The sequence below is a fragment of the Homo sapiens genome, chromosome 3 (assembly GCF_000001405.40).
Source record: "Homo sapiens chromosome 3, GRCh38.p14 Primary Assembly".
Taxonomy (NCBI): Eukaryota; Metazoa; Chordata; class Mammalia; order Primates; family Hominidae; genus Homo; species Homo sapiens.
Window position 1 is genome coordinate 141136441 of NC_000003.12, and position 25325 is coordinate 141161765.

At 44.4% G+C, this 25325-nt stretch overlaps 1 protein-coding gene across 1 annotated transcript in view; it reads left to right on the top strand.

Moving 5' to 3' along the window:
* SPSB4 (splA/ryanodine receptor domain and SOCS box containing 4) overlaps window positions 1-12171 on the top strand; it is a 97265-nt gene extending 85094 nt beyond the window's left edge. Inside the window, exon 3 of the mRNA NM_080862.3 lies at window positions 10702-12171. Coding sequence (NP_543138.1) covers window positions 10702-10829 — 128 coding nt within the window. The 3' untranslated portion in view covers window positions 10830-12171. The remainder of the gene's footprint in view (window positions 1-10701) is intronic.
* Window positions 12172-25325: the final 13154 nt, after the last annotated feature.

Genomic DNA, 25325 nt, shown 5'->3' on the forward strand with positions numbered 1-25325 from the left:
TAGGTTTTCTTCTAGGGTTTTTATGGTTTTAGGTCTAACATGTAAGTCTTTAATCCACCTTGAATTAATTTTTGTATAAGGTGCAAGGAAGGGATCCAGTTTCAGCTTTCTACATATGGCTAGCCAGTTTTCCCAGCACCATTGATTAAATAGGGAATGCTTTCCCCATGGCTTGTTTTTGTCAGGTTTGTCAAAGATCAGATGGTTGTAGGTGTGTGGTATTATTTCTGAGGGCTCTGTTCTGTTCCATTGGTCTATATCTCTGTTTTGGTACCAGTACCGTGCTGTTTTGGTTACTGTAGCCTTGTAGAATAGTTTGAAGTGAGGTAGCGTGATGCCTCCAGCTTTGTTCTGTTGGCTTAGGATTGACTTGGCGATGTGGGCTCTTTTTTGGTTCCATATGAACTTTAAAGTAGTTTTTTCCAATTCTGTGAAGAAAGTCATTGGTAGCTTGATGGGGATGGCATTGAATCTATAAATAACCTTGGGCAGTATGGCCATTTTCACGATATTGATTCTTCCTACCCATGAGCATGGAATGTTCTTCCATTTGTTTGTATCCTCTTTTACTTCATTGAGCAGTGGTTTGTAGTTCTCCTTGAAGAGGTCCTTCACATCCCTTGTAAGTTGGATTCCTAGGTATTTTATTCTCTTTGAAGCAACTTTGAATGGGAGTTCACTCATGATTTGGCTCTCTGTTTGTCTGTTATTGGTGTATAAGAATGCTTGTGATTTTTGCACATTGATTTTGTATCCTGAGACTTTCCTGAAGTTTCTTATCAGCTTACGGAGATTTTGGGCTGAGATGATGGGGTTTTCTAGATGTACAATCATGTCATCTGCAAACAGGGACAATTTGACTTCCTCTTTTCCTAATTGAATGCCCACCTTCTCCTGCCTGATTGCCCTGTCCAGAACTTCCAACACTATGTTGAATAGGAGTGGTGAGAGAGGGCATCCCTGTCTTGTGCCAGTTTTCAAAGGGAATGCTTCCAGTTTTTGCCCATTCGGTATGATATTGGCTGTGGGTTTGTCATAGATAGCTCTCATTATTTAGAGATATGTCCCATCAATACCTAATTTATTGAGAGTTTTTAGCATGAATGGTTGTTGAATTTTGTCAAAGGCCTTTTCTGCATCTGTTGAGAAAATCATGTGGTTTTTGTCATTTGTTCTGTTTATATGCTGGATTATGTTTATTGATTTTCATATGTTGAACCAGCGTTGCATCCCAGGGATGAAGCCCACTTGATCATGGTGGATAAGCTTTTTGATGTTTTGCTGGGTTTGGTTTGCCAGTGTTTTACTGAGGATTTTTGCATCAATGTTCATCAAGGATATTGGTCTAAAATTCTCTTTTTTTGTGTGTCTCTGACAGGCTTTGGTATCAGGATGATGCTGGCCTCATAAAATGAGTTAGGGAGGATTCCCTCTTTTTCTATTGATTGGAATAGTTTCAGAAGGAATGGTACCAGCTCCTCCTTGTACCTCTGGTAGAATTCGGCTGTGAATCCATCTGGTCCTGGACTTTTTTTGGTTGGTAAGCTATTAATTATTGCCTCAATTTCAGAGCCTGTTATTGGTCTATTCAGAGATTCAACTTCTTCCTGGTTTAGTCTTGGGAGAGTGTATGTGTCGAGGAATTTATCCGTTTCTTCTAGATATTCTAGTTTATTTTCATAGAGGTGTTTATAGTATTCTCTGATGGTAGCTTGTATTTCTGTGGGATTGGTGGTGATATCCCCTTTGTCATTTATTATTGCATCTATTTGATTCTTCTCTCTTTTCTTCTTCATTAGTCTTGCTAGTGGTCTATCAACTCTGTTGATCTTTTCAAAAAATCAGCTCCTGGATTCATTGATTTTTTGAAGGGTTTTTTGTGTCTCTATCTCCTTCAGTTCTGCTCTGATCTTAGTTATTTCTTGCCTTCTGCTAGCTTTTGAATGTGTTTGCTCTTGCTTCTTTAGTTCTTTTAATTGTGATGTTAGGGTGTCAATTTTAGATCTTACCTGCTTTCTCTTGTGGGCATTTAGTGCTATAAGTTTCCCTCTACACACTGCTTTGAATGTGTCCCAGAGATTCTGATATGTTGTGTCTTTGTTCTCGTTGGTTTCAAAGAACATCTTTATTTCCGCCTTCATTTCCTTGTGAACCCAGTAGTCATTCAGGAGCAGGTTGTTCAGTTTCCATGCAATTGAGTGGTTTTGAGTGAGTTTCTTAATCCTGAGTTCTAGTTTGATTGCACTGTGGTCTGAGAGACAGTTTGTTATAATTTCTGTTCTTTTACATTTGCTGAGGAGTGTTTTACTTCCAAGTATGTGGTCAATTTTGGAATAGGTGTGGTGTGGTACTGAAAAGAATGTATATTCTGTTGATTTGGGGTGGAGAGTTCTGTAGATGTCTATTAGGTCCGCTTGGTGCAGAGCTGAGTTCAATTCCTGGATATCCTTGTTAACTTTCTGTCTCGTTGATCTGTCTAATGTTGACAGTGGGGTGTTAAAGTCTCCCATTATTATTGTGTGGGTGTCTAAGTCTTTTTGTAGGTTACTAAGGACTTCCTTTATGAATCTGTGTGCTCCTGTGTTGGGTGCATATATATTTAGGATAGTTAGTTCTTCTTGTTGGATGGATCCCTTTACCATTATGTAATGGCCTTCTTTGTCTCTTTTGATCTTTGTTGGTTTAAAGTCTGTTTTATCAGAGACTAGGATTGCAACCCCTGCCTTTTTTTATTTTCCATTTGCTTGGTAGATCTTCCTCCATCCCTTTATTTTGAGCCTATGTGTGTCTCTGCACGTGAGATGGGTTTCCTGAACACAGCACACTGATGGGTCTTGACTCTTTATCCAATTTGCCAGTCTGTGCCTTTTAATTGGAGCATTTAGCCCATTTACATTTAAGATTAGTATTGTTATGTGTGAATGTGATCCTGCCATTATGATGTTAGCTGGCTATTTTGCTCGTTAGTTGATGCATTTTCTTCCTAGCCTCGATGGTCTTTACAACTTGGCATGTTTTTGCAGTGGCTGGTACCAGTTGTTCCTTTCCATGTTTAGTGCTTCCTTCAGGAGCTCTTTTAGGGCAGGCCTGGTGGTAACAAAATCTCTCAGCATTTGCTTGTCTGTGAAGTATTTTATTTCTCCTTCACTTATGAAGCTTAGTTTGGCTGGATATGAAATTCTGGGTTGAAAATTCTTTTCTTTAAGAATGTTGAATATTGGCCCCCACTCTCTTCTGGCTTGTGGAGTTTCTGCCGAGAGATCAGCTGTTAGTCTGATGGGCTTCCCTTTGTGGGTAACCCCACCTTTCACTCAGGCTGCCCTTAACACTTTTTCCTTCATTTCAACTTTGGTGAATCTGACAATTATGTGTCTTGGAGTTGCTCTTCTTGAGGAGTATCTTTGTGGCGTTCTCTATTTCCTGAATTCGAATGTTGGCCTGCCTTGCTAGATTGGGGAAGTTCTCCTGGATAATATCCTGCAGAGTGTTTTCCAACTTGGTTCCATTCTCCCAGTCACTTTCAGGTACACCAATTAGATGTAGATTTGGTCTTTTCACATAGTCCCATATTTCTCGGAGGCTTTGTTCATTTCTTTTTATTCTTTTTTCTCTAAATTTCTCTTCACGCTTCATTTCATTCATTTCATCTTCCATCGCTGATACCCTTTCTTCCAGTTGATCGCGTCAGTTACTGAGGCTTGTGCATTCGTCACGTGGTTCTTGTGCCTTGGTTTTCAGCTCCATCAGGTCCTTTAAAGACTTCTCTGCATTGGTTATTCTAGTTATCCATTCGTCTAATTTTTTTTCAAAGTTTTTAACTTCTTTGCCATTGGTTCAAACTTCCTCCTTTAGCTTGGAGTAGTTTGATCTTCTGAAGCCTTCCTCTCTCAACTCGTCAAAGTCATTCTCCATCCAGCTTTGTTCCGTTGCTGGTGAGGAGCTGCGTTCCTTTGGAGGAGAGGCGCTCTGAGTTTTAGAGTTTCCAGTTTTTCTGCTCTGTTTTTTCCCCATCTTTGTGGTTTTATCTATGTTTGGTCTTTGATGATGGTGACGTACAGATGGGTTTTTGGTGTGGATGTCCTTTCTCTTTGTTAGTTTTCCTTCTAACAGACAGGACCCTCAGCTGCAGGTCTGTTGGAGTTTACTGGAGGTCCACTCCAGACCCTGTTTGCCTGGGTATCAGCAGCGGTGGCTGCAGAACAGCGGATATTGGTGAACCGCAAATGCTGCTGCCTGATTGTTCCTTGGGAAGTTTTGTCTCAGAGGAGTACCCGGCCGTGTGAGGTGTCAGTCTGCCCCTATTGGGGTTGTCTCCCAGTTAGGCTACTCGGGGGTCAGGGACCCACTTGAGGAGGCAGTCTGCCCGTTCTCAGATCTCAAGCTGCGTGCTGGGAGAACCACTACTCTCTTCAAAGCTGTCAGACAGGGACATTTAAGACTGCAGAGGTTATTGCTGTCTTTTGTTTGTCTGTGCCCTGCCCCCAGAGGTGGAGCCTCCAGAGGCAGGCAGGCCTCCTTGAGCTGTGGTGGGCTCCACCCAGTTTGAGCTTCCTGGCCACTTGGTTTTACCTACTCAAGCCTGAGCAATGGTGGGCACCCCTCCCCCAGCCTCGCTGCCGCCTTGCAGTTTGATCTCAGACTGCTGTGCTAGCAATGAGTGAGGCTCTGTGGGCATAGGACCCTCCGAGCCAGGTGCGGGATATAATCTCCTGGTGTGCCGTTTGTTTAAGGCGTTGGAAGAGCGCAGTATTAGGGTGGGAGTGACCCGATTTTCCAGGTGCCACCTGTCACCCCTTTCTTTGACTAGGAAAAGGAATTCCCTGACCCCTTGCACTTCCCAGGTGAGGCGACGCCTCGCCCTGCTTTGGCTCATGCATGGTGCCCTGAACCCACTGTCCTGTACCCACTGTCCGGCACTCCCCTGTGAGATGAACCCGGTACCTCAGTTGGAAATGCAGAAATCACCCATCTTCTGCATCGCTCACGCTGGGAGTTGTAGACTGGAGCTGTTCCTATTCGGCCATCTTGGCTCCACCCCCCCAGTTTTTCAATATTACATATTAAACTGCTATTGGGTTGTGTCTGCACCAGCCAGGAGCTTTCCCTGACACAGAAGAGGGAGATGATCTGAAAGTCTATAGGCAGCAGCAACAGCAGTGGAATAGTTTCGGAAAGATTAGTACCAATTCTTCTTTGAATACCTGATAGAATTCAGCTGTGAATCCATCTGGTCCTTGACTTTTTTTTTGGTGGCAATTTTTTATTACCATTTCAATTTCACTATTTGTTACTGGTCTGTTCGGAATTTCTATTTCTTCCTGATTTAATCTAGGAAGGTTGTATATTTCAAGAAATTTTTCTATCTCCTTTAAATTTTCTAGTTTGTATGTGTAAAGGTGTTAATAATCCCCATGAATGCACTTTTGTATTTCTGTGGTATCAGTTGTAATATCTCCTGTTTTGTTTCTAATTGAACTTATTTGGATCTTCTCTTGTCTTTTCTTGGTTATTCTCATTAATGGTCTATCAGTTTTGTTTATCTTTTCAAAGAACTGGCTTTTTGTTTTATTTATCTTTTGTATTTTTTGTTTCAATTTCATTTAGTTCTGCTGTGATCTTTGTTATTTATTTTCTTCTGCTGAGTTTGAGTTTAGTTTGTTCTTGTTTCTCTAGTTCCTTGAGGTATGACCTTAGATTGTCTATTCATGTTCTTTCAGCTTTTTGATGTAAGCATTTAATGCTATGAACTTTCCTCTTAGCACTGCTTTGACTGTATCCAAGAGGTTTTTGTAAGTTGTGTCACTATTATCGTTCCATTCAAAGAAATTTTACATTTCCATCTTGATTTCATTGTTGACCCAAAGATCATTCAAGAGCAGATTATTTAATTTCCATGTATTTGTATAGTTTTGATGGTTCCTTTTGGAGTTAATTTCCAATTTTATTCCACTGTGGTCTGAGAGGATACTTGATATAAGTTTGATTTTCTTAAATTTATTGAGACTTGTTTTGTGGCCTATCATGTTGTCTATCTTGGAGAATGTCCCATGGGCTGAAGAAAAGAATGTATATTCTGCAGTTGTTGGGTAGAATGTTCTGTAAATATTTGTTAAGTCCATTTGTTCTAGGGTATAGTTGAACTCCATTGTTTCTTTGTTGACTCTGTCTTGGTGAACTGTCTAGTGCTGTCAGTGGAGCATTGAAGTCCCCCACTATTGTGTAGTTGTCTATCTCATTTCTTATGTCTAGTCATAATTGTTTTATAAATTTGGGAGCTCCTGTGTTAGGTACATATATATTTAGGATTGTGATATTTTCCTCTTGGAGTGATCCTTTCATTATGATATAATGTCCCTCTTTGTCTTTTTTTTTTTTTTTTTTTTTTTTTTTTTTTGAGACAGAGTCTCGCTCTGTCACCCAGCCTGGAGTGCAGTGGCATGATCTCAGCTCATTGCAAGTTCCACCTCCCAGGTTCACACCATTCTCCTGCCTCAGCCTCCCGAGTAGCTGGGACTACAGGCACCCGCCACCACGCCCAGCTAATTTTTTGTGTTTTTAGTAGAAATGGGGTTTCACCGTGTTAGCCAGGATGGTCTCCATCTCCTGACTTTGTGATCTGCCCACCTTGGCCACCCAAAGTGCTGGGATTACAGGTCTGAGCCACCACGCTTGGCCCCCTCTTTGTCTTTTTAAACTGTTGTTGCTTTAAAACCTGTTTTGTCTGTTATAAGAATCGCTACTCTTGCTTGCTTCTGGTTTCCATTTGCATGGAATATCTCTTTCCCCACTTTACCTTAAGTTTATGTGAGTTCTTGTGTGCTAGGTGAGTCTCTTGAAGACAGCAGATACTTGGTTGGTGGATTTTTATTCACCTTGATGTGGTACTCTCCTGCTTCCCCTAGGGACGGGGCTACCTGAGAGCTGGACTGCAAAGATTGGTATTGCTCTTCTGGGTCTAACCATGCAGTGGGGCTACCAGGCTCTTGGCTGGTGCTGGGAGATGTTTGCAAAGAGTCCTATGATGGGATCTGTCTTCAGGTCTCCCAGCTGTGGATACCAGCACCTGCTCTGGTGGAGGTGGCAGGGGAGTGAAGTAGACTCTGTGAGAGTCTTTGGTTATAGATGTTTAGTGTGCTGGCTTTCTCTAATGCTGGTTATGCTAGCAGTGAGATTGTAATATGGACAGACTTGGGACCCACTTGCTAGCCAGGATTTGGCATGCAGTGGAATTAACTCCTGTTTCTCCTTCCTTGGAGCAAGGTTGTTCTGTCATGAGTTGCTGTAATGTCCTGAGTTGGTTGGCCTCCAGCCAGGAGGTGGTGCTTTCAAGAGAGCACCAGAGTTTTTTTCCTGTTTCACAGAATTTGCAGTGGCCTGCTCCTTCTTTTCATTATGTTATTTTAATTACATCTGAGAGTTACAGAATGAATAAAAATTTAGAAGTAGACAAACATATGAGTCCTCATTTTTACATTAATATATAAATGTAAGTAGACAATAAAAAGTAGAAGAAAAGCCTATTTTTAGAAAAGACCAAATTAATAGCTCCTAACAGTGTCAGGGACATTTATTTGTTCATCAGTTGAGTCTGCATAGACAATCTTTGAATCACCACAGCTGTTTGAGCAAACCTGGATTGGAGGACAAGCTATGCAGTTAACTCTGAATTTTGGCTAAATATTTGACAACTTCTAAGCAGATCCTATCAGACGTCTTCATCACTCCAGACTTCAGTCCCAGGCATCACAGGAAAGAGGATATCATCATTTTAGTCTTCCTTGTTGGTATGTGGCAGAGTCATATTATGGTATTAATTTCTACTTTCCTGATGATTCATGAAGTTGAGCACTTTTACATATGTTTATTGGCCATTTGGATATTCACCTTTATGAACAATGATTCTTTTTCGGTTTTATCTTTAGTCAAAAAATAGTTCTAAGAATAGCTCCCATACTGGAAAATTCTGTGCTTCCTTTCCTATCCAGGTGATTATTTCCAAGCTTTGACATTTGGTAGTTCTAAGAAAAGCCTCAAAGCCAGGAGAGGTGAGAAAGAAGAGCCAAGAGAATGGGCGCAGCCAACGTTGGGCACTCTCCGAGCTCTTAAAGTTCCACAGTGGGGGCAGGAACTCAAGGACTTTCTCTGTGCACTTTGGAATTGTCAGTTTACTCTCCCCTCAGAAGTTCGGAGAGATGATTTATATTTCACATTTAGAGCTAGCAACGTACTCTGAACTCCTTTTCCTTCTTCCTTTGGAATTTAGAATCTAGATTGATTTCAGTGACTGCAGAGAGATGAAGATAAAAGACATTCTGTCCTCTTCAGCCCCTAATTGGGCAGGCAACACACAGGGAGTTGGGTTTGCTGACAAGGCTAAGCATTTTGGGCGTTGAATACCTATTATGTGCCTAGGGCATTAAAGTGATAAGAAAATCTCTTAAGGTCTGCCAATGATTTTGAAATTTTAACAGCTCAGTTTTCCTGATGCCAGATGGGGGACAGGGAGTGGGAGAACTGGGTACAAGGGTGTTGCTGGAGGAGAGATGGGGACACCCTGAGGGAGGGTTGTCAAATGTTGGCCTAGGCACAGTGATTGGGTGACTGGGAGGTGAGCGATCAGCCTTCTGCACCTGGAAAATAGGGCATGGCTGGGCTTCCCCTGTCCAGCCTCATTTTGTATGAGGATCGATATACTGTCTCCATATTTGACTATTCTGAAGATTTTGTACAAGTGGAATTATACAATAAAAATAATAATTATTTTAAAAAGAGAATACAAAAAATTAAAAAAAAAAAAAGATAAAAAAGAGGATACAGAGGTGAGTGTTTGGAGTCACTAGTGCTCCCTGCAGATAGCCTTGGGATCTGGCCTCAAGTGAAGGAGAGCTGGATGTACTCTTGTGCACAGCTTCCAAAGCATGCTCCCCAAGCCCCACTTTAATTTTAATGGCTCCCCTTATTAACTCTGCAGCTCAGGTAAATAAAAATTCCTATAAAACATATTCTCGACTCTTGACTACATTCCCATGTAAAAAGTACTTCACTGCAGGTTGTGATAAAAAAATGTTTGAAAGCTGCAGGCCTCGGGTGGATCTGTAGAGGGCCTTTCTCTGTGGTACTATTCCTATCACAACTCTTGTGTTAGTATTTACCACTCAACAGTTTTGTTGTATCTTAGTACATTATAGGATGTTTATGAAATATCATTTATTCTATTACCAAAAAAGTATTAAGATGCAGGTTCAGGCTTCCAGCATACTCCTGGAGGACTGGGGAAACCAGGCCTGTACAAACCATACCAGATGCCATGTGACCACCATCATCATCTTCCTTCCAGCTGATGCTAACTGATCAGCACTGTTCCTCTCCCCACAAACCTCCAGGCTGTCCTGTTTTATTCCTCCTTTGCCTTTGCCTGTTCTCTCTGCCTAGGATACCCTCCCCACCCTTATGTGCCTTTAACCCTCCTATTCACTCTTCAAAACCCCATTATGTGTCCTCTCTGTGAAGCTTTCAAACAGCTCTTCTATATAAGAAATTCCCAGTTTCTGTACCTGTATATTTAAGAATTATTGCATATATTACACTCTATTAAAATGATTCACCTATTTAAAATCCCAGATCATGAGCCTCCACCACCCCCCTACCTGCCCCCACCCTCTTCCAGAGCTGCCTCTGGTGCTAGCTTAGTTATCCCTGTATCCCCAGGGCTAATCAAAGGGCCTGGACCAGAATAAGAGCTTAATAAGGGGGTCTGCAATAAACCTAGTTAAAGTTGGTTTAACTGGTCCTATGTCCAGTGGTTCCATTATTTATGGATTTTAACTTACAAATTTTTCCAGAACTAGGTGCTGGAAGAAAATGTAACCCGCTGCTGACCATCAAGGAAAGCTATAGGGGAAGTTTCAGGGTTCACAGGCATTTCAGACAGCCTCTCAGAATCTAACCTGTTTGTAGAGGAAACCCCTCTGCAGATCCACCCAAGGCCACCAGCTTTTAAACATTTTCCATCATGACCTGAAGTGAGAAGTCCTTTTCACATTAAGACACACCAGGCCGGGCGCGGTGGCTCACGCCTGTAATCCCAGCACTTTGGGAGGCCGAGAAGGGCGATCACGAGGTCAGGAGATCGAGACCATCCTGGCTAACACAGTGAAAGCCCGTCTCTACTAAAAATACAAAAAATTAGCCGGGCTGGTGGCGGGTGCCTGTAGTCCCAGCTACTAGGGAGGCTGAGGCAGGAGAATGGCGTGAACCCAGGAGGCGGAGCTTGCAGTGAGCCCAGATTGTGCCACTGCACTCCAGCCTGGGCGACAGAGCAAGACTCCATCTAAAAAAAAAAAAAAAAGACACGCTGAACACCTACATCAGAGACCAGAGACAAGGCTTTCATGAAACAATATTTATCCTTGCTATGGGTATTGCTCCCATTTTCTCTTTTTTTAAAAAAAATTATGGCTGGTCACCACCCATTGAATTGATTTTGTGACTCTTTAGTCTCACTGGTTGCATTCCACAGTCTAATGAACACTCCTCTAGGCCTTCAGCTTATGTAACCAGAGAAATCTTCTCCAAGGAGAAGCCATTGACCCTGAAGGCCAGCTCAGAGGAGCAGGCAGGAGGCGGTATGCAGTGGGGGCTGGGATGAGAAGGTGCCAGGATGGCACAGGGCACACTCTAACTGCTTCCCTCTCATTGCAGCCGAGCCCCTGCCACTGATGGACCTGTGCCGGAGATCCATCCGCTCGGCCCTGGGCCGCCAGCGCCTGCAGGACATCAGCTCCCTGCCCCTGCCTCAGTCTCTCAAAAACTATCTGCAGTACCAGTGAGCCAAGCCTGATGGGCAGCACAGACACAGACACACACCGCAGGGCCCGACCCTCCTGTCATTCACAGTCCCATGGCACATAGGGGAAAGGATCTACCCTTCTCCTGGCTCCCCAGGACACTCAGTTCTTTCAAAGACCAGGATGTGGTACCAACTTTGGAAACGAAAGGTCTCTTGCCAACAGTATCTACTGCCCTCGAGGCAGCCCTCCCAAGTCAGACACCTCCTTCGGAGCCACAGAGAGCCTGGAGTCTGCACCTCCTGGAAATCCTGCCACCAACCAGGACACAGCAGCCACCGTATTGATCAGAGAGCCTGTTTCCTTATTCAAGAGAATGAATAAAACATTTAGGCAGGAGACTTTCTATTGTGTGCCCCGTTGCAGACAGGGCCAGGGAGAAATTAGCCAGTGCAGGGGGAAAATTGCCTCTGAATAATGAATGATGAAAGCCTGACGCCGTGCCCCTCCTGGCCCATACGCCTTGCCAGGGCGGCAGGATTGTCACACCGTTTTAGGACTCTGTGCCACTTTGAGAGACTGTTCCCAGGAGGCCCAACCGCAGACCTGGCAAGTGGACAGTGCAGTGTGGAGACACCTTCCGGCTTACCTCTTTGAACGTTGTTTACCTACCCCTTTCCACGTGCTCCCCTTCCCAGCCACTGACTCACAGTTCTCTGGATGCCCAGACACCTCTCTTCAGGGAAGATGAGTCTGACTGGTTTGCCCCAGGGAAGAGCATATCCTTACCATTATTTTAAGTAGCATTTGCATTTTAAAAGAGGAATGCGGAGAGGACAGTACTTAGTCCAAAGGTGCTAACGGGGGAACTGGGGGCATTGTGACACCCAAGTCTGATGTGTCCTGGGTTGGGGGGCCTTCCTGGAGTGTCAGGGTCTCTGGGCAACGTCCATTCAGGGTGCGGCATGGCTGTCACAAAGCTTTATTTGAGCAAATTATTTTTTCACTTTAGGAGACTTCTACAAGTTTGTTTCCTGTTTCAAATGTGTGTGTGATGTGCTGTTTATTTATCAGCTTGAGGTCCATGGGGGCAGCCTTGTGACTGGAAGGGTGGATATGGGAGACACATTCTCTACCTGCTCCGAGCCTGGTCCTCTCGCAGGAATGCTGCTGCTGCCTCCGCCGCCACTGCTGCTGCCACCTCTTATATGTTTCAGACACTCTCTGCCCAGACTCATTTTTAACTGGAAATCATCACAGCAGTGGGATATCAGAGCCCCAGACAGCACTGCCTCTTCCTCCCCACCCCACTGCCCCCACCTTAATGTGAATTTGACTGATGAATGAAGAGCGTTTCTAATAAAGTTTGTCATTCAGTCCTTCAGCTGCGTATTAAATGTTGTTTGGGGAGGGACCCAGAGAGCTTCTTCCATCAACCTGCCTGGTCCGTCAGACTGATAGAAGCCAGGCACGTGAATCCCTCTTTAGACATTTCTTGTCTCTTCTGACTTGTGGTCCTTGCTTGAGCCCAAACTCCAGCTATTTTGCAAAGGCCTGCCCTGGACAAGAGAATGTGCCTGTGTCCTGGGTACATGCAAAGCTGACCTTATGGTGGAGAAACAACTCAGCCTCCTGTTGCCAGAGCCAAGGGGTAGCCCTGCAAAGGGGCTTAGGGTCAGGCAGGGCAAACCCTATGGAACACCAGTTTCCAAGTGGACTGGAGGTGGGGCTGGATGTGACTGTAGTGAATGCATGTTGTCACCAAGGAGCAGTGCAAATTGTTGAAGCATGAGTGTAAAGAAAGGCCAGGCTCAGAGCTGATAGCAGTTCAGGAGTTAGAGTCAGGATAGGGTCTGGGTAAGGACTGGAATAGCATTCATTCAGCAGTACCAGCCAACAGCATGCGCTGTGCCAATTTCCAGGGACCCAGCGCCCAGGCTGATATATCTCATCTCCAGAGATGTGTAGTACAGCATAATAAAGTGAGAAGGAGCTCATGAAGAGGGGTGGATGAGAATAGAATATGAAGGGAAGGCTTCCTGGAGGAAGAGGCACTCTCCAGACTTGTTATTTTAAGGGCAGACAAGCTTCCTGAGGACCACCAAGAGACCAAACTTGCAGCACCTGCCCCCAGGGTAATGTTTCCAGCTCTGACCTCGGGGCTGGGCTCCGCATCAGGCAGCTTTCAGTCATTTTGTTTGCCAAAGGCAGCTTCCTGTGGCCATGACATGGAGGCTTTGAGGCTTTGTGTGTAGGAAGCCTGGGTTTGAGTCCCAGCTTCATCGTTTATGTGCTATGACCTTGGGGAAGTCACTTCCTTCTGTGCACACTGTGCTGGCTGAGCCAGGTAGCCAGTAACTGGGAACTCTTCCTCTCCCAGCTCATGGAGTCCCCATCTCAGCACCAGCTTTCCAGCTTGGATGCATCTGTCTTATCTCGGCTTCCAAGCCTCACTTATGTGGTTTCCCTCACCCTAACAATGTCCTCCCCATCTTTACCCTCTCAAGGATCTGGCTTAGCGTGGCTTCCTTGAGGAAGCCCTCTTTAACCACTCCCCCCATCTCTGCTTCTTCTGAGAATTCAGCTCTTCATGTCCTGACCTGAGGATGCCACTCCTGGGGCCCAGGACCCTCTCCTGAGCACAGGGACTTGAGCTCCTTTGCCCTGTGGTCTCACCTGCCCAGGGAGCTGTGGACCTTTGACGGGCAGGGCCTCTGCCTGCTCCTTCCCACACAGCCCAGACCAGACACATGGGCTCAGCAAAGATGGAGTGGTGGGTGAAGGTGCCCCTGCAGCTGGGATGACCATGGGAAACTGCAAGGAGGAGCGGGGAAGGGAGGATCCTCCCAGAGCCAAGAACCTGGCCTTGAGGCTCACGGATCTCTTGCCCTTTCATTCCCTCACCTTTTCCCAGGTATTTATAAGGCATTTTTCATGCACTCAGCACTATTATGAGAACATGAATAAGGAAATCTGGCCCTGCCATATCAGAGCTCACATTCTAAGGGAGAGACAGGACACACAAGCAAAGAAACAGATGATGTCAGAGGGCGGAGATGAGCAGCGGGTAGGCTAGAGCCAGGGAGCAAAAGGGACCCAGTAATTGAGGGTGATGGGGGGAGGCCCTCTGGGAAGATGCTGAGTACTGAAGAAATGAGAGGGAGCCAAATACCTGAAAGGGCGTGGATCTCCAGGTCATGGGGGGACTTCTGGCTCTCCCAACCTTCTCAAAGTGGGAACTCCCGAGCCCCAATGAGTTGAGCTGAGGAAAGGAAGCCCCTGTGCTGCCACTCCTGCCCAAGCCGCAGCTCAGCATCCCTGTGTGTGTGAGCCCCACACACCTCCAGGCTTGCTTGTGCAATTGTGCTCCCTGCAGGCATGCAAGTGCACCCACACACAGACACACACACGACCAAGGGCCTCTCCCCAGCAGACATCCTGGGAGCTCATGACCACCCCCCAGCGCCAGAGTCCATTATAACCCGGGCCCAGCCCCCTCCCATGCTTGGCACATTCTCTAAAGTTTGGCCTCTCCACGACCCATTTCCAGCAGGGGGACTTGCCAAAGCAGTCTCGCTAGTCACTTTGTAATTGTCTACGAATAGAGCATATGGTGGCACCGTCCCCCACAGATCTGATGATCCCCATGAGCACCCTGTTTCACTCTACCCCATTTGACATTCCCATATTCTGAGTAAAGCCACCCTTTTTCCCTTGCTTTCCTCCTCTGTCATCTGCACTAGCAGCTGGCTCCTGTGTGGGTTATCTTTCACTAGGAAACAAACATTTCATCTCCTTACAGTGTTACAGAAGAAGTGGGAGCAGGTAGCAAGTAACCCCATTATATGGCAGTTGATTTGTGCCAGGGCAGCTGTCTCTGTCCCCAGGGCCTTGGTCCCAGCCACAGCCTCTGAACAGGCGGCGCATATTTGCCAAGTCAGAAGAACAGGGAACCACACAGCATTACTCTTCAGGTCCCTAACAAGGAGTGGAAATGCCCAGTTTTAGTCCAAAACACAAGAAAATTGGTCCACTCTTGCCTATAGTTCTGGGTGCTTGGATCTCATTCCAGCCTACAGATTTGTTTTGTTATCATACTTGTGTGTGTGTGTGTGTGTGTGTGTGTGTGTGTGTGTGTGTGTGTGTGTGCGCGCGCGTGTGTTTTAATAAAATTGAGCCTAACAAAGAAAAATCAAGTAATTTAATAGAAAAATCCAGATTTCAGACTTCTCTTGAAAAATGGGGAGAGGTGTTAAAGCCAGGCCCACATTCCTTCATGGTGAGGTTGGCCAAAGCTGAGTAAAGGAAAGGCCTCTGCTCTGTGGTCCAGCCCTACGTCCAACCCTCCCACAACATAGCACTGGGACCTCTCACTGCCGCCACCCTCAAGGGCGTTCACTCCCTGCGTCTGGGCTAAGGCTTCTGAGTTTGCTTCTCTGGACTATTGGTATAAGACACATAAGTGGGTAGTAAGTACCCACACGTAGGCGTGCACACACATACACACACACGCGTGCACACACACACACCCACGACAGAGGGAGGGCTCAGGAGGGGAGAGTCTGCTAGCTCTGCACTTGACTTTGAAGTCTCTCCAGCCTCAGCCACCAATATTCAAGGAGCTCACAGATGCCCAGGATCTTTACTCAGACACCAGAGAAACCCAGGTGTTCCTGGCTAGATGGTGAACTCCTAGAGGACAAGGACAAGAATTCTCAGGGCCTATTTGTAATGAGCTGGGTGACATGATTAGACAGCCTGGCTGCACATTAGAATCCCTTGAGGAACTTTGTAAAAAGGCCCAGTGTACAGGCCCTTCTTCAGTCCAATTAAATCAGGACCTCTGTGGGTAGGGCCGGGCCATGGCAGTTTTTAAAGCTCCCTAGATGGTTCTAATGCTCAACTAGGGCTGAGAACCACTGGATAAGGCGCTTAATTAAGTCAGCTCCTTGAAGAGGTGGTTGACGTTTGTGAGAATGCACATCCTAGACCAGAAAACGCTGGCCCAGGCTCCCTGCATTCCCACAGCCGACGGGATACTGAGTGGTGGGAGTCCCCAGTGTGGCCAGGTCCAAAGGCAGGGAGTCCCTCCCAGCCCTTCTTCCCCCTTTCCAGCGATGCCGAGCTGGTTGCTCCTGAGCATGGGGGAGAAAGGACCAGCCACACCTGCCCTGATGCTGCACAATTCTTGACAAATTGACTGCAGCCCCACTCGCTCCCTGACCTGTGAGGCCCAAGCTGTGGGGCAGTCTTCCCAGACAGCATTGTCCTGAGCAATCAGAATAACCGTAGAATTAGAAGTGAAGAGCAGACTGAGAATGGCTTGGTCTTCAATGTACTATTTTGAATAGAAAAATTTGAGCTTATGAGAATTTGAGATAGTGAGTGGTTTGGTTCCTGGCATTTCCAAACCTTGCTTTCTTAAGGCCAGGTAACACATTTGGCCAATAATAAATAATAAATTATAATTATAAATTATATGCTTATCATTATAATTATAATTTATATTTATATTTGTATTTATAAATTATATAGTTATAATTATAAAATTATGCCCTTCACACACACACTTCTAGGTTTTAGAGTAAAATGAGCCATGAACAAGCCAAGCCTGGCTTGATGGCAGTGTTAGTGTCCCCAGCTGCTCTGCCTCTTCAATAAGCAGGGCTCTTTCCCTGGGAGGAGGCCTGGTACTGGGTGAGTGCAGCCCAGTTAGTCCATGGAGGAGGATCAGGGTAGGTCATTTCCCTTCTTCCAACCAGCTCCAGGGGCCTCAGTAACACTGTTCCTATGCCTGGGGATTTCCATTCAAGGGAGATAATATGTTGATGATTTGCTGCACAGTGATGGCATTTAAAAAAAAAAAGAGTTGCCTGTTACTTGCCTGATTCAACAAATGGCTCTGTACCAAGCTCTGTGCAAGCTCAAGAACACTCCTGCTGCCCGAGAGCGCCCCTACACCTCAGGGAGACCAACAGGCAAACAGGTGTCAACTGCCTGCTGACAGGATGGGCAGCAGGCCAGTGGAGAGAAGGCACAACAGAAACAAGTGCTGGAGTGTAGAGAGCATAGAGTGTGGTGGGGAGTGTTGAGGAATCCCAGACAACAGAGGAGAAGCTACATGGGGTGGCTCGGGGGACACACACTGATGAAGGGTGGGGCCTTGCAAGTCACACTCAGGAATAAAGGTTTGGGATTTGTCTTAGTAAGTTCGTGTTGCTATGACAAAGTACCACAGACTGCATAGCTTGTAAATAACCGGAATGTAAATATTCCTCACACTTTTAGAGGCTGGAAGTCCAAGATCAGGGTGCCAGCATGGTCAGTTTCTGGCAAGGGCCCTCTTCCGGGTTGCTGACTGCTGACTTCTCATTGTGTCTTCACATGGCAGCGAGCAAAAGAGCTCCCTAGGGCCTCTTTTATAAGGGCACTAATCCTATTCATAAGGCTCCACTCTCACAACCTAATTAGGTCCCACCTCCTAGTACCATTATGTTGAGGGTTAGGATTTCAACATATGAACTTTGGAGGGACACAAATAGTCAGTCCATAACAGTATGGGTCAATGTTCTAGGAGGAAACAGCTAGCACACTGAAATAGTAGACTGAAGAGAGTTCAGTAAGAAAGGGACTATTTACAGATGCATGGGCAGAGTTCGGGGAAACCAGCAGCTGAGGGTGAGGAACCCTGGGGTGGCAACACTGGGAGGGAAAACCATTAGCATCCCTAGGCTCAAAGGGCCAATAAAAGGGAGCAGTAACTGGGAAAAGAAAAAAACACAGCTGTAAGAGAGAGCCACCCAACAGGAGATACGAGGTTAGATGGAGGAACAGAGCCACAGCCACTGCCAACTAAAGCCTGGCAAGGAGGAAGCAGGACATAAATATTCTCACTTGCCCTTGCTCTTCCTCTCATCTCCTGTCTGTGCCTCCCACTGGCTGAAACTCAGGAGCACAGCAGACAAGGGAACCTGATTGGTATCATCCACAGACATCAGCTTTCTACACACAGAGCAGGGCAGAGGAGGAGGGAGAGTGGACGAGTGTCAGGAGAAGACTATATGCAACAGACTTTATCTATAGGATAAACAAACAAAATTGCAAAAATGCAAAACTTGAGTGCATAAATAGATAAAAGCTAATTTGTTTCAAATGTGGGTGGGGGACTTTTGAACCCCACTCCCGTACCTCTCCCATCTGAACATCAGATGCTAAATACCTGAAACACCTCCAAAGAGCCTTAGGTTATCATCAAAATTACATTATTCCTAAAGTACAACCCAAATGTGTGACACAAACAGGTAGGTCCAGAGCCTAGAACTAGATTTTGTAAATGCTGTTGCAAGAGCGACAGAGGATTTGAAGTGGGAATGATGAGGTCCAGTTTGTGTTTTTGTACAGCCTTCCTGCAGGGTCTTTGGATGGGGGCTTAGCAAGTCAGCAGGAGTAGAGGTGGGTAGCGGGCATGGTGGCTCATGCCTGTAATCCCGGCACTTTACAAGGCCAAGGCAGGCAGATCACTTGAAGTCAGGAGTTCAAGACCAGCCTGGCCAACATGGAGAAACCCTGTCTCTACTAAAAATACAAAAATTAGCTGGGTGTGGTGGCCCACACCTGTAGCCCCAGCTACTTGGGAGGGTGAGTCAGGAGAATTGCTTGAACCTGGGAGTCAGAGGTTGCAGTGAGCCAAGATTGTGCCATTGCACTCCAGCCAGGGTGATGGAGCAAGACTCCATCTCAAAAAAAAAAAAAAAAACCAAGAGTACAGGTGGGGAAATTGAGGGAAAGGCTGTTGGTTCTAGGGAGAAAAACAGGGCCTGAATGAAGTCCATGGGAGTAGGGGCTGGGAAAGAGAGCTGCTGCAAACAGGCCAAGTCCACAGAGATTAGTGACTTGGTGCATGCAGGACTCCGGCAAGAAAAGAAGTGAGGACACTCGCAATCCATTCATTCACTTGTTCTCTATACATTTATTCGGGGCCTGCTATGTGTGAGGCACTGCTGTTGATGCAGAGGACACTACAATGAAGAAAACAAATATAAAATCTGCACCCTTGGAGAGCTTATACTCTAGTACAAAAGGTGCATAGACAGGTAACCTGGTAAATGTAAAGTATCTCACATGCATGCTAAGCCAGGAAGGAGTAGAGAGAGCAGATGGCTGCGTTGCCACAGTAGTGTGTTTGTAAATGTTTAACAACCATCTCTCTGGGGATAAGTAAAAGATTTGTAGTGTTTGCTGTTTTCCATAATGTAAATACTCCCACCACAGCCAATTTTAAGCTCCAACGTGATGCCACTGAATGCAGATTGGGAAAAGATGATCAGTAGCCAACCATCATAGAGTGTTTCCAATCATACAGATATGGTAGATGTAAATGATCTGAACAGCAAAGATAATAATGAAATGTAGTAAAATAATTAAAAAGTGATGAGTTTTAAGTATTTATTTGTTTTTAATGTAATTTATTTAATTGTACACTTATATAATTTAATTTTTAATAATGACTGTAATAAATAGCCAGTTTGAAAGATTTCCAAAGTTTTAACCATCAGTTTTTGCAAGCCAGTATGAGCTGGCTCCAGGATACTACTATGTTGCTGAAATTAGGATTATCCCATATTAATTCTGACCTTGTTTGGGTACTCTACCAAGTTTCAGCACATTTCACTTGGCCTAACATTACAATGGTCCCTTTTCTGACAGTCCCCTTGATGAGTGATGAAGATAAGCTGGCTTAGAGTAGATGGGAGTGAGGGAAACCAAGCCTCAATGAAGTTTTCACAGCAATGACCTACACAGAGTCTGACCCATGTATGAGAGTTTATACCTCTAACTATTCCTGGGCACCCAGCATGCACACAACATTACCAGAGACACTAGTTCAAAACAGAGATGCAAAGATCTGAAAATGTTAGCAAATCAAACTTAGGAGTATATATATATATATATATATATATATATATATGTGTGTGTATGTATGTATGTATAGGTTCATCATGACCAAAGTGAATTCATTTTATGAGTACAAGTTTGGCTTAATAATCAAAAAGTGATATAATCATATTGTCCAAATTTAAAAAATTAAAAAAATTATCATCTCAATAAAGGTAGAAAAATTATTTGCTAAAATTCAATACCTTGTTTATGATTCTGGAAAAAACTTTCATAAAACTAGGAAGAGATACACTTACTTAAACTAGTAAAGGATATCCTATGAAACACCTACAGCTGATATCATATTTAATGAAAAATTATTGAATGCTTCCTTTTGAGATGAGTAGTAAGAAAAGTTGCCCTCTATTATCACTTCTACACAATATTGTATTGGAAACCCTAGGCAGTTTAATAAGCCAAAAATAAGAAATTAGAAGGTATAAAAATCGGAAGGAAAGAAACAAAACCACCATCATTTGCAAATGACATCATTGTATACATAGGAAAAAATATAGGAAACTATGAGAATTCATAAGGAAATTTAGAAAATATGAATACAAGGTTAATATTTTAGAAGTTGTATTTCTACATATTAACAACAAACAATTAGAAAATGAAATGTAAAACAATGCCATTTATAGTAACAAAAATAGAAAAATCTAATGAAAAATGTGCAAGACCTCTACACTGAAAATTACAAAACATTGGCAAAAGACATGGAAGAACTAAAGAAATACAGGGCTCTACCGTGTCAATTGGATAATTCAATATTGTTAAAAGTGTCAGTTCTACCCAAAGTAATCTGTATAGTCAATGCAATAACCAAACAAATTTTCTGAGCTTTTTTTGTGGAATTGACAAGTTGATTCTAAATTCATTTGAAAATGCAAAGGACCTAAAATAGCTGTAACAATATTAGAAAAGAAAACAATGTCAAGCCAAGATGGCCAACTAGAAACAGCTAGTATGTGTGGCTCTCATGGAGAGGAACAGAAGGCGTGAGTAAATACAACACCTTCAATTGAAATATCCTGATACTTGCATTGGGACTAATCAAGGAAACAACTTGACCCATGGAGAATGAACAAAAGCAAGACAGGACAGTGACCCACCCGGGAGCAACACAGAGCCAGGGAGACCCTCCCCTGCCCAGGGAAGTGGTGAGTGAATGTGAAACCCCAGGAAACCACACTTCTCCCATGGATCTTTGCAACCCTCAGGTCAGGAGATCTCCTTGTGAACCCACTCCACAGGGGCCTTCAATCTGATAGACAGAGCTATGTGGACTCTTGGCAGAGCAGCTGTTCAGGCATGTATGGAGAGCCTGGAGACTTAGATACTTGGGCTTTCCAGCAAAAAGTAGCTGCAGGTCCAACAAAATGGGAGATTAGACTCCCATACATACCCCTAGGAAAGAGGCTGAATCCAGGGGGCTGAGCAGTGACAACCTGCAGGCTCCACTTCCACGGCACTTCACAAGATAAGACCCACTAACTTGGAATTCCAGCCAGCCACCAGTAGTGGCATTGCACCTCCATAAGAAGGAGCTCTTAGGGGGAGGGGTTGAACACTATCATTGCTGTTTGGGCACCTTAGCCATTCCAGGCTTCAGGCTGTGGAGAGTCTGAGCCAACAGAGGGCAGAAGGGATCCCCCACAGCACAGTTGCTCTACCAAAACATGGCCAGACTGCTGCTTTAAGCAGATGCCCGATCCTGTTCCTCCTCACTGGGTGGGGCATCCCAACTGAGCGTCCAGCCACCCCTGCCCATGTTCACCATCTGACAGAGATTTGAATTCTCCTCGGACAGTGCTCCCAGAGGAATGGGTGGGCCGCCATCTTTCCTGTTTAGGCCACTTAGCCAATCCAGCCTTCAGGCTTTGGAAAGTGAGCAACTGGAGGCAGAAGGGATCCCCCAGCACAGCACAGCTGCTCTACCAAAATGTGGCCAGACTGCTTTTTTAAGTGGGTCTTCAATCCCATTCATCCTCACTGGGCAGGACCTCCCAACCAGGGTCTCCAGCCACCTCCTACAGTTGCCTTTGAGCTGGCAACAGGCCTGTACATTTTTGGAATGAAGTTCCTAGAGGGTGGAACAGGCTGCCATCTTTGCTGTTTTGCAGGCTTCACTGGTGATACCTCCAGATACTGGAAAATGTAAGGTGACTGGAGTGACCCTACAGAAAAGCAGCCAGACTGTTACATGGGTGCCCATTCCCATATCTCCTCACAAGGCAGGTCCTCCAGGCCTGGGCCTCCAGCCACCCTACGCCAGAGCTATCGAACCACTAGCAACTCAGCGATTCCCTGAGCAGAGCCTCCAGGGACAACTGAAAGCCTCTCTGCCACTGCCTCTGCAGTGGAACTGCCCTTGCCACCCTCTGACTAACGAAGGTGTAAAGACCCTAAGTGCTTTATCCATACTTCCAACAAGCTGCAGTCAACCTAAGGAGAGGAGGCCAGTCTGTCTCCCATGGGTTCCACACACCTCCCGCTGCTCATCACCAGACAGGGAATCCCTTGCTTGGGCCCAGCACATACCCTCCATCCTGGGCTGATTGCACTGAGCAATTGCTGACCCAAAGCTCTCCGAGGTGGAGTTCCCAGGAGACAAGCAAATGACCCTTGGCCACAACCACTACTAAGATCTCTTCCTCTGCTGCCTTCAAGTTGGGGAAGAAACATAAACACCGAGAGAGCCCCAGAGCTACAGTGAGCAGCCCAAGAGTGCCAAGTCATGATCTACACAGTCAGGACTCAAGGGGAAGAGGAACCCAAACTTTCAGAGCATTGAGAGGTGACTTGGCTGCAATTGTGAGGAAACACAGGGGAGCCACACAACCAAGCAAGAGTCTCCCAACTGACCAATAAGCCTAAGTGCCACCTGCTGGCTCACACCCCAAAGCTTCAACACCAAAAATACCTCACTAACATACAATTCTCTGAAACAAGGGACAGGAAGTCAGCATCAAATAAAGACCCTGCACAAAGCCTCGGCCCAGTGAAAACATTCAGAATAAAAGTCTATTGACTGTACTCAGTCTACACTGCAGTCAAAGGAATACCCACATGCAGAGATGAGAAAGAACCAATACAAGAACTCTGGTAACTCAAATGGCCAGAGTGTCATATGTCCTTCAAACAACCATACCAATTCTCCAACAAGAGTTCTTAACCAGGCCAAACTGGCTGGAATGACAGAAATAGAATTCAGAATATAAATAGGAACAAAGATCATCGAGATTCAGGAGGATGGCAAAATCCAATCCAAGGAAAATAAAAATCATGATAAAGCAATACAGGAGCTGAAGGACAAAATAGTTGGTATATAAAAGAAACTAACAGGTCCAACAGAGCTGACTAACACAATGTGAGACCGTTTCTCTGAAATAAGACAGTCAGACAAAAATAAAGAAAAAAGAATATGAAGGAATGAACAAAACCTCCGAGAAGTATGGGATTCTGTAAAGAGGCCAAATCTATGAATCGTTAGCATCCCTGAAAGAGATAAGGAGAAAGCAAACAACTTGGAAAGCATATTTCAGGATATCATACATGAAAACTTCCCTAACCTTGCTAGAGAGGCCATCAGTCAAATTCAGAAAATACAGAGAACTCCTGCAAAATTCTACACAAGAAGTTCATCCCCAAGATACATAATCATCAGATTTTCCAAGGTCGAAATGAGGGAAAAATGTTAAAGGCAGCTAGGGAGAAAAGGTAGGTCACCTGCAAAGGGAACCCCATCAGGCTAACAGTGGACCTCTCAGCTGAAACCCTACAAGCCAGAAGAGGTTGGGGGACGATATTCAATATTCTTAAAGAAAAACATCTTCAACCAAGAATTTTATATCCAGCCAAACTAAGTTTCCTAAGTGAAGAAGAAATAAGATCTTTTTCAGATAAGCAAACATTGAGGGAATTCATTACTGCCAGATCTGCCTTGCAAGAGATCTTGAAAGGAACACTAAATATAGAAGGGATAGACCACTATCAGCTAATACAAAAACACACTTAAACTCAGAGACCAGTATCACTGTAAAGCAACCACACAAACAAGCCAACATAATAACCAGCTAACAACACAATGACAGGATCAAATCCACACATATAAATGGCAACCTTGAATGTAAACAGGCTAAATGCCCCACGTAAAAGACAGATATTTTAATTCTCCTGAGACAGTGCTCCCAGAGGAAGGGGTGGGCCACCAAGCTGAATTTAAAAAAGCAAGATCCAATGGTATGCTGTCTTTAAGGGACCCATCCCACATTTAATGTCACTCATGGGCTCAAAATAAAGGGATGGAGGAAAACCTACCAGGCAAATGGAAAACAGAAAAAAAAAAGAGTTGCAATCCTAATTTCAGACTATTCAACATAGTATCAGAAGTGCAAGCCAGAGCAAAGTCAAGAGAAAGAAACAAAGGGCATCCAAATAGGAAGAGAGGAAGTTGAACTATCTCTGTTTGCAGAAGACATGATTCTATATCTAGAAAACCCCATAGTCTCAGCTCAAAAGCTCTTCCTACTGACAAACAACTTCAGCAAAGTTGCAGGATACAAAAATCAATGTACAAAAATTACTAGCATTCCTATACACCAACAACAGCCAAACCAAGAGCCAAATAAGAATGGCAATCCCATTCACAACTGTCACAAAAAGAATAAAATACCTAGGAATACAGCTAACCAGGGAAGTGAAAGATCTCTACAATGAGAATTACAAAACACTGCTCAAAAAAATCAGAGAAGACACAAACATCCCATGTTCATGGATAGGAAAAATCAATATCATTAAAACGGCTATATTGCCCAGAGCAATTTACAGATTCATTGCTATTCCTATCAAACTACCAATAACATTCTTCACAAAACTAGAAAAAACTATTTTAAAATTCATATAGAACCTAAGAAGAGCCAAAATAGTGAAGGCAATCCTAAGCAAAAAGAACAAAGCTGGAGGCATCACATTACGTGACTTCAAACTATACTACAAGGCTACAGTAACCAAAACAGCATGGTACTGGTACAAAAACAGACACATAGACCAATGGAACAGAATAAAGAGCCCAGAAATAAGGCCACACATCTATGCCCATCTGATCTTCAACTAAGGTGACAAAAATGAGCAATGGGGAAAAGACCCCCTGTTCAATACATGGTGCTGGGACAACTGTCTAGCCATATGCAGAAGATTGAAACTGGACCCCTTTTTTACAGCATATACAAAAATAAACTGGAGATGGATTAAAGACTTAAATGTAAAACTCAAATCTATAAAAACCTTGGAAGACAACCTAGGCAATACCAGTCAGAACATAAGAATGGGCAAAGATTTCACGACAAAGACATTGAAAGCAATTACAACAAAAGCAAAAATTGACAAATGAGATTTAATTAAACTCAAGAGCTTCTGCACAGCAAAAGAAACTATCAACAGAGTAAGCCCAGATTGGGTACTGCGCTTAATACCTAGGTAATGCAATAATATGTACAGCAAACCCCTGTGACATGTATTTACCTATGTAACCTTCACATGTACCCCCAAACCTGAAATACATTTTTTTTTTTTAATTGGTGAGACAGAGTCTCTCTCTGT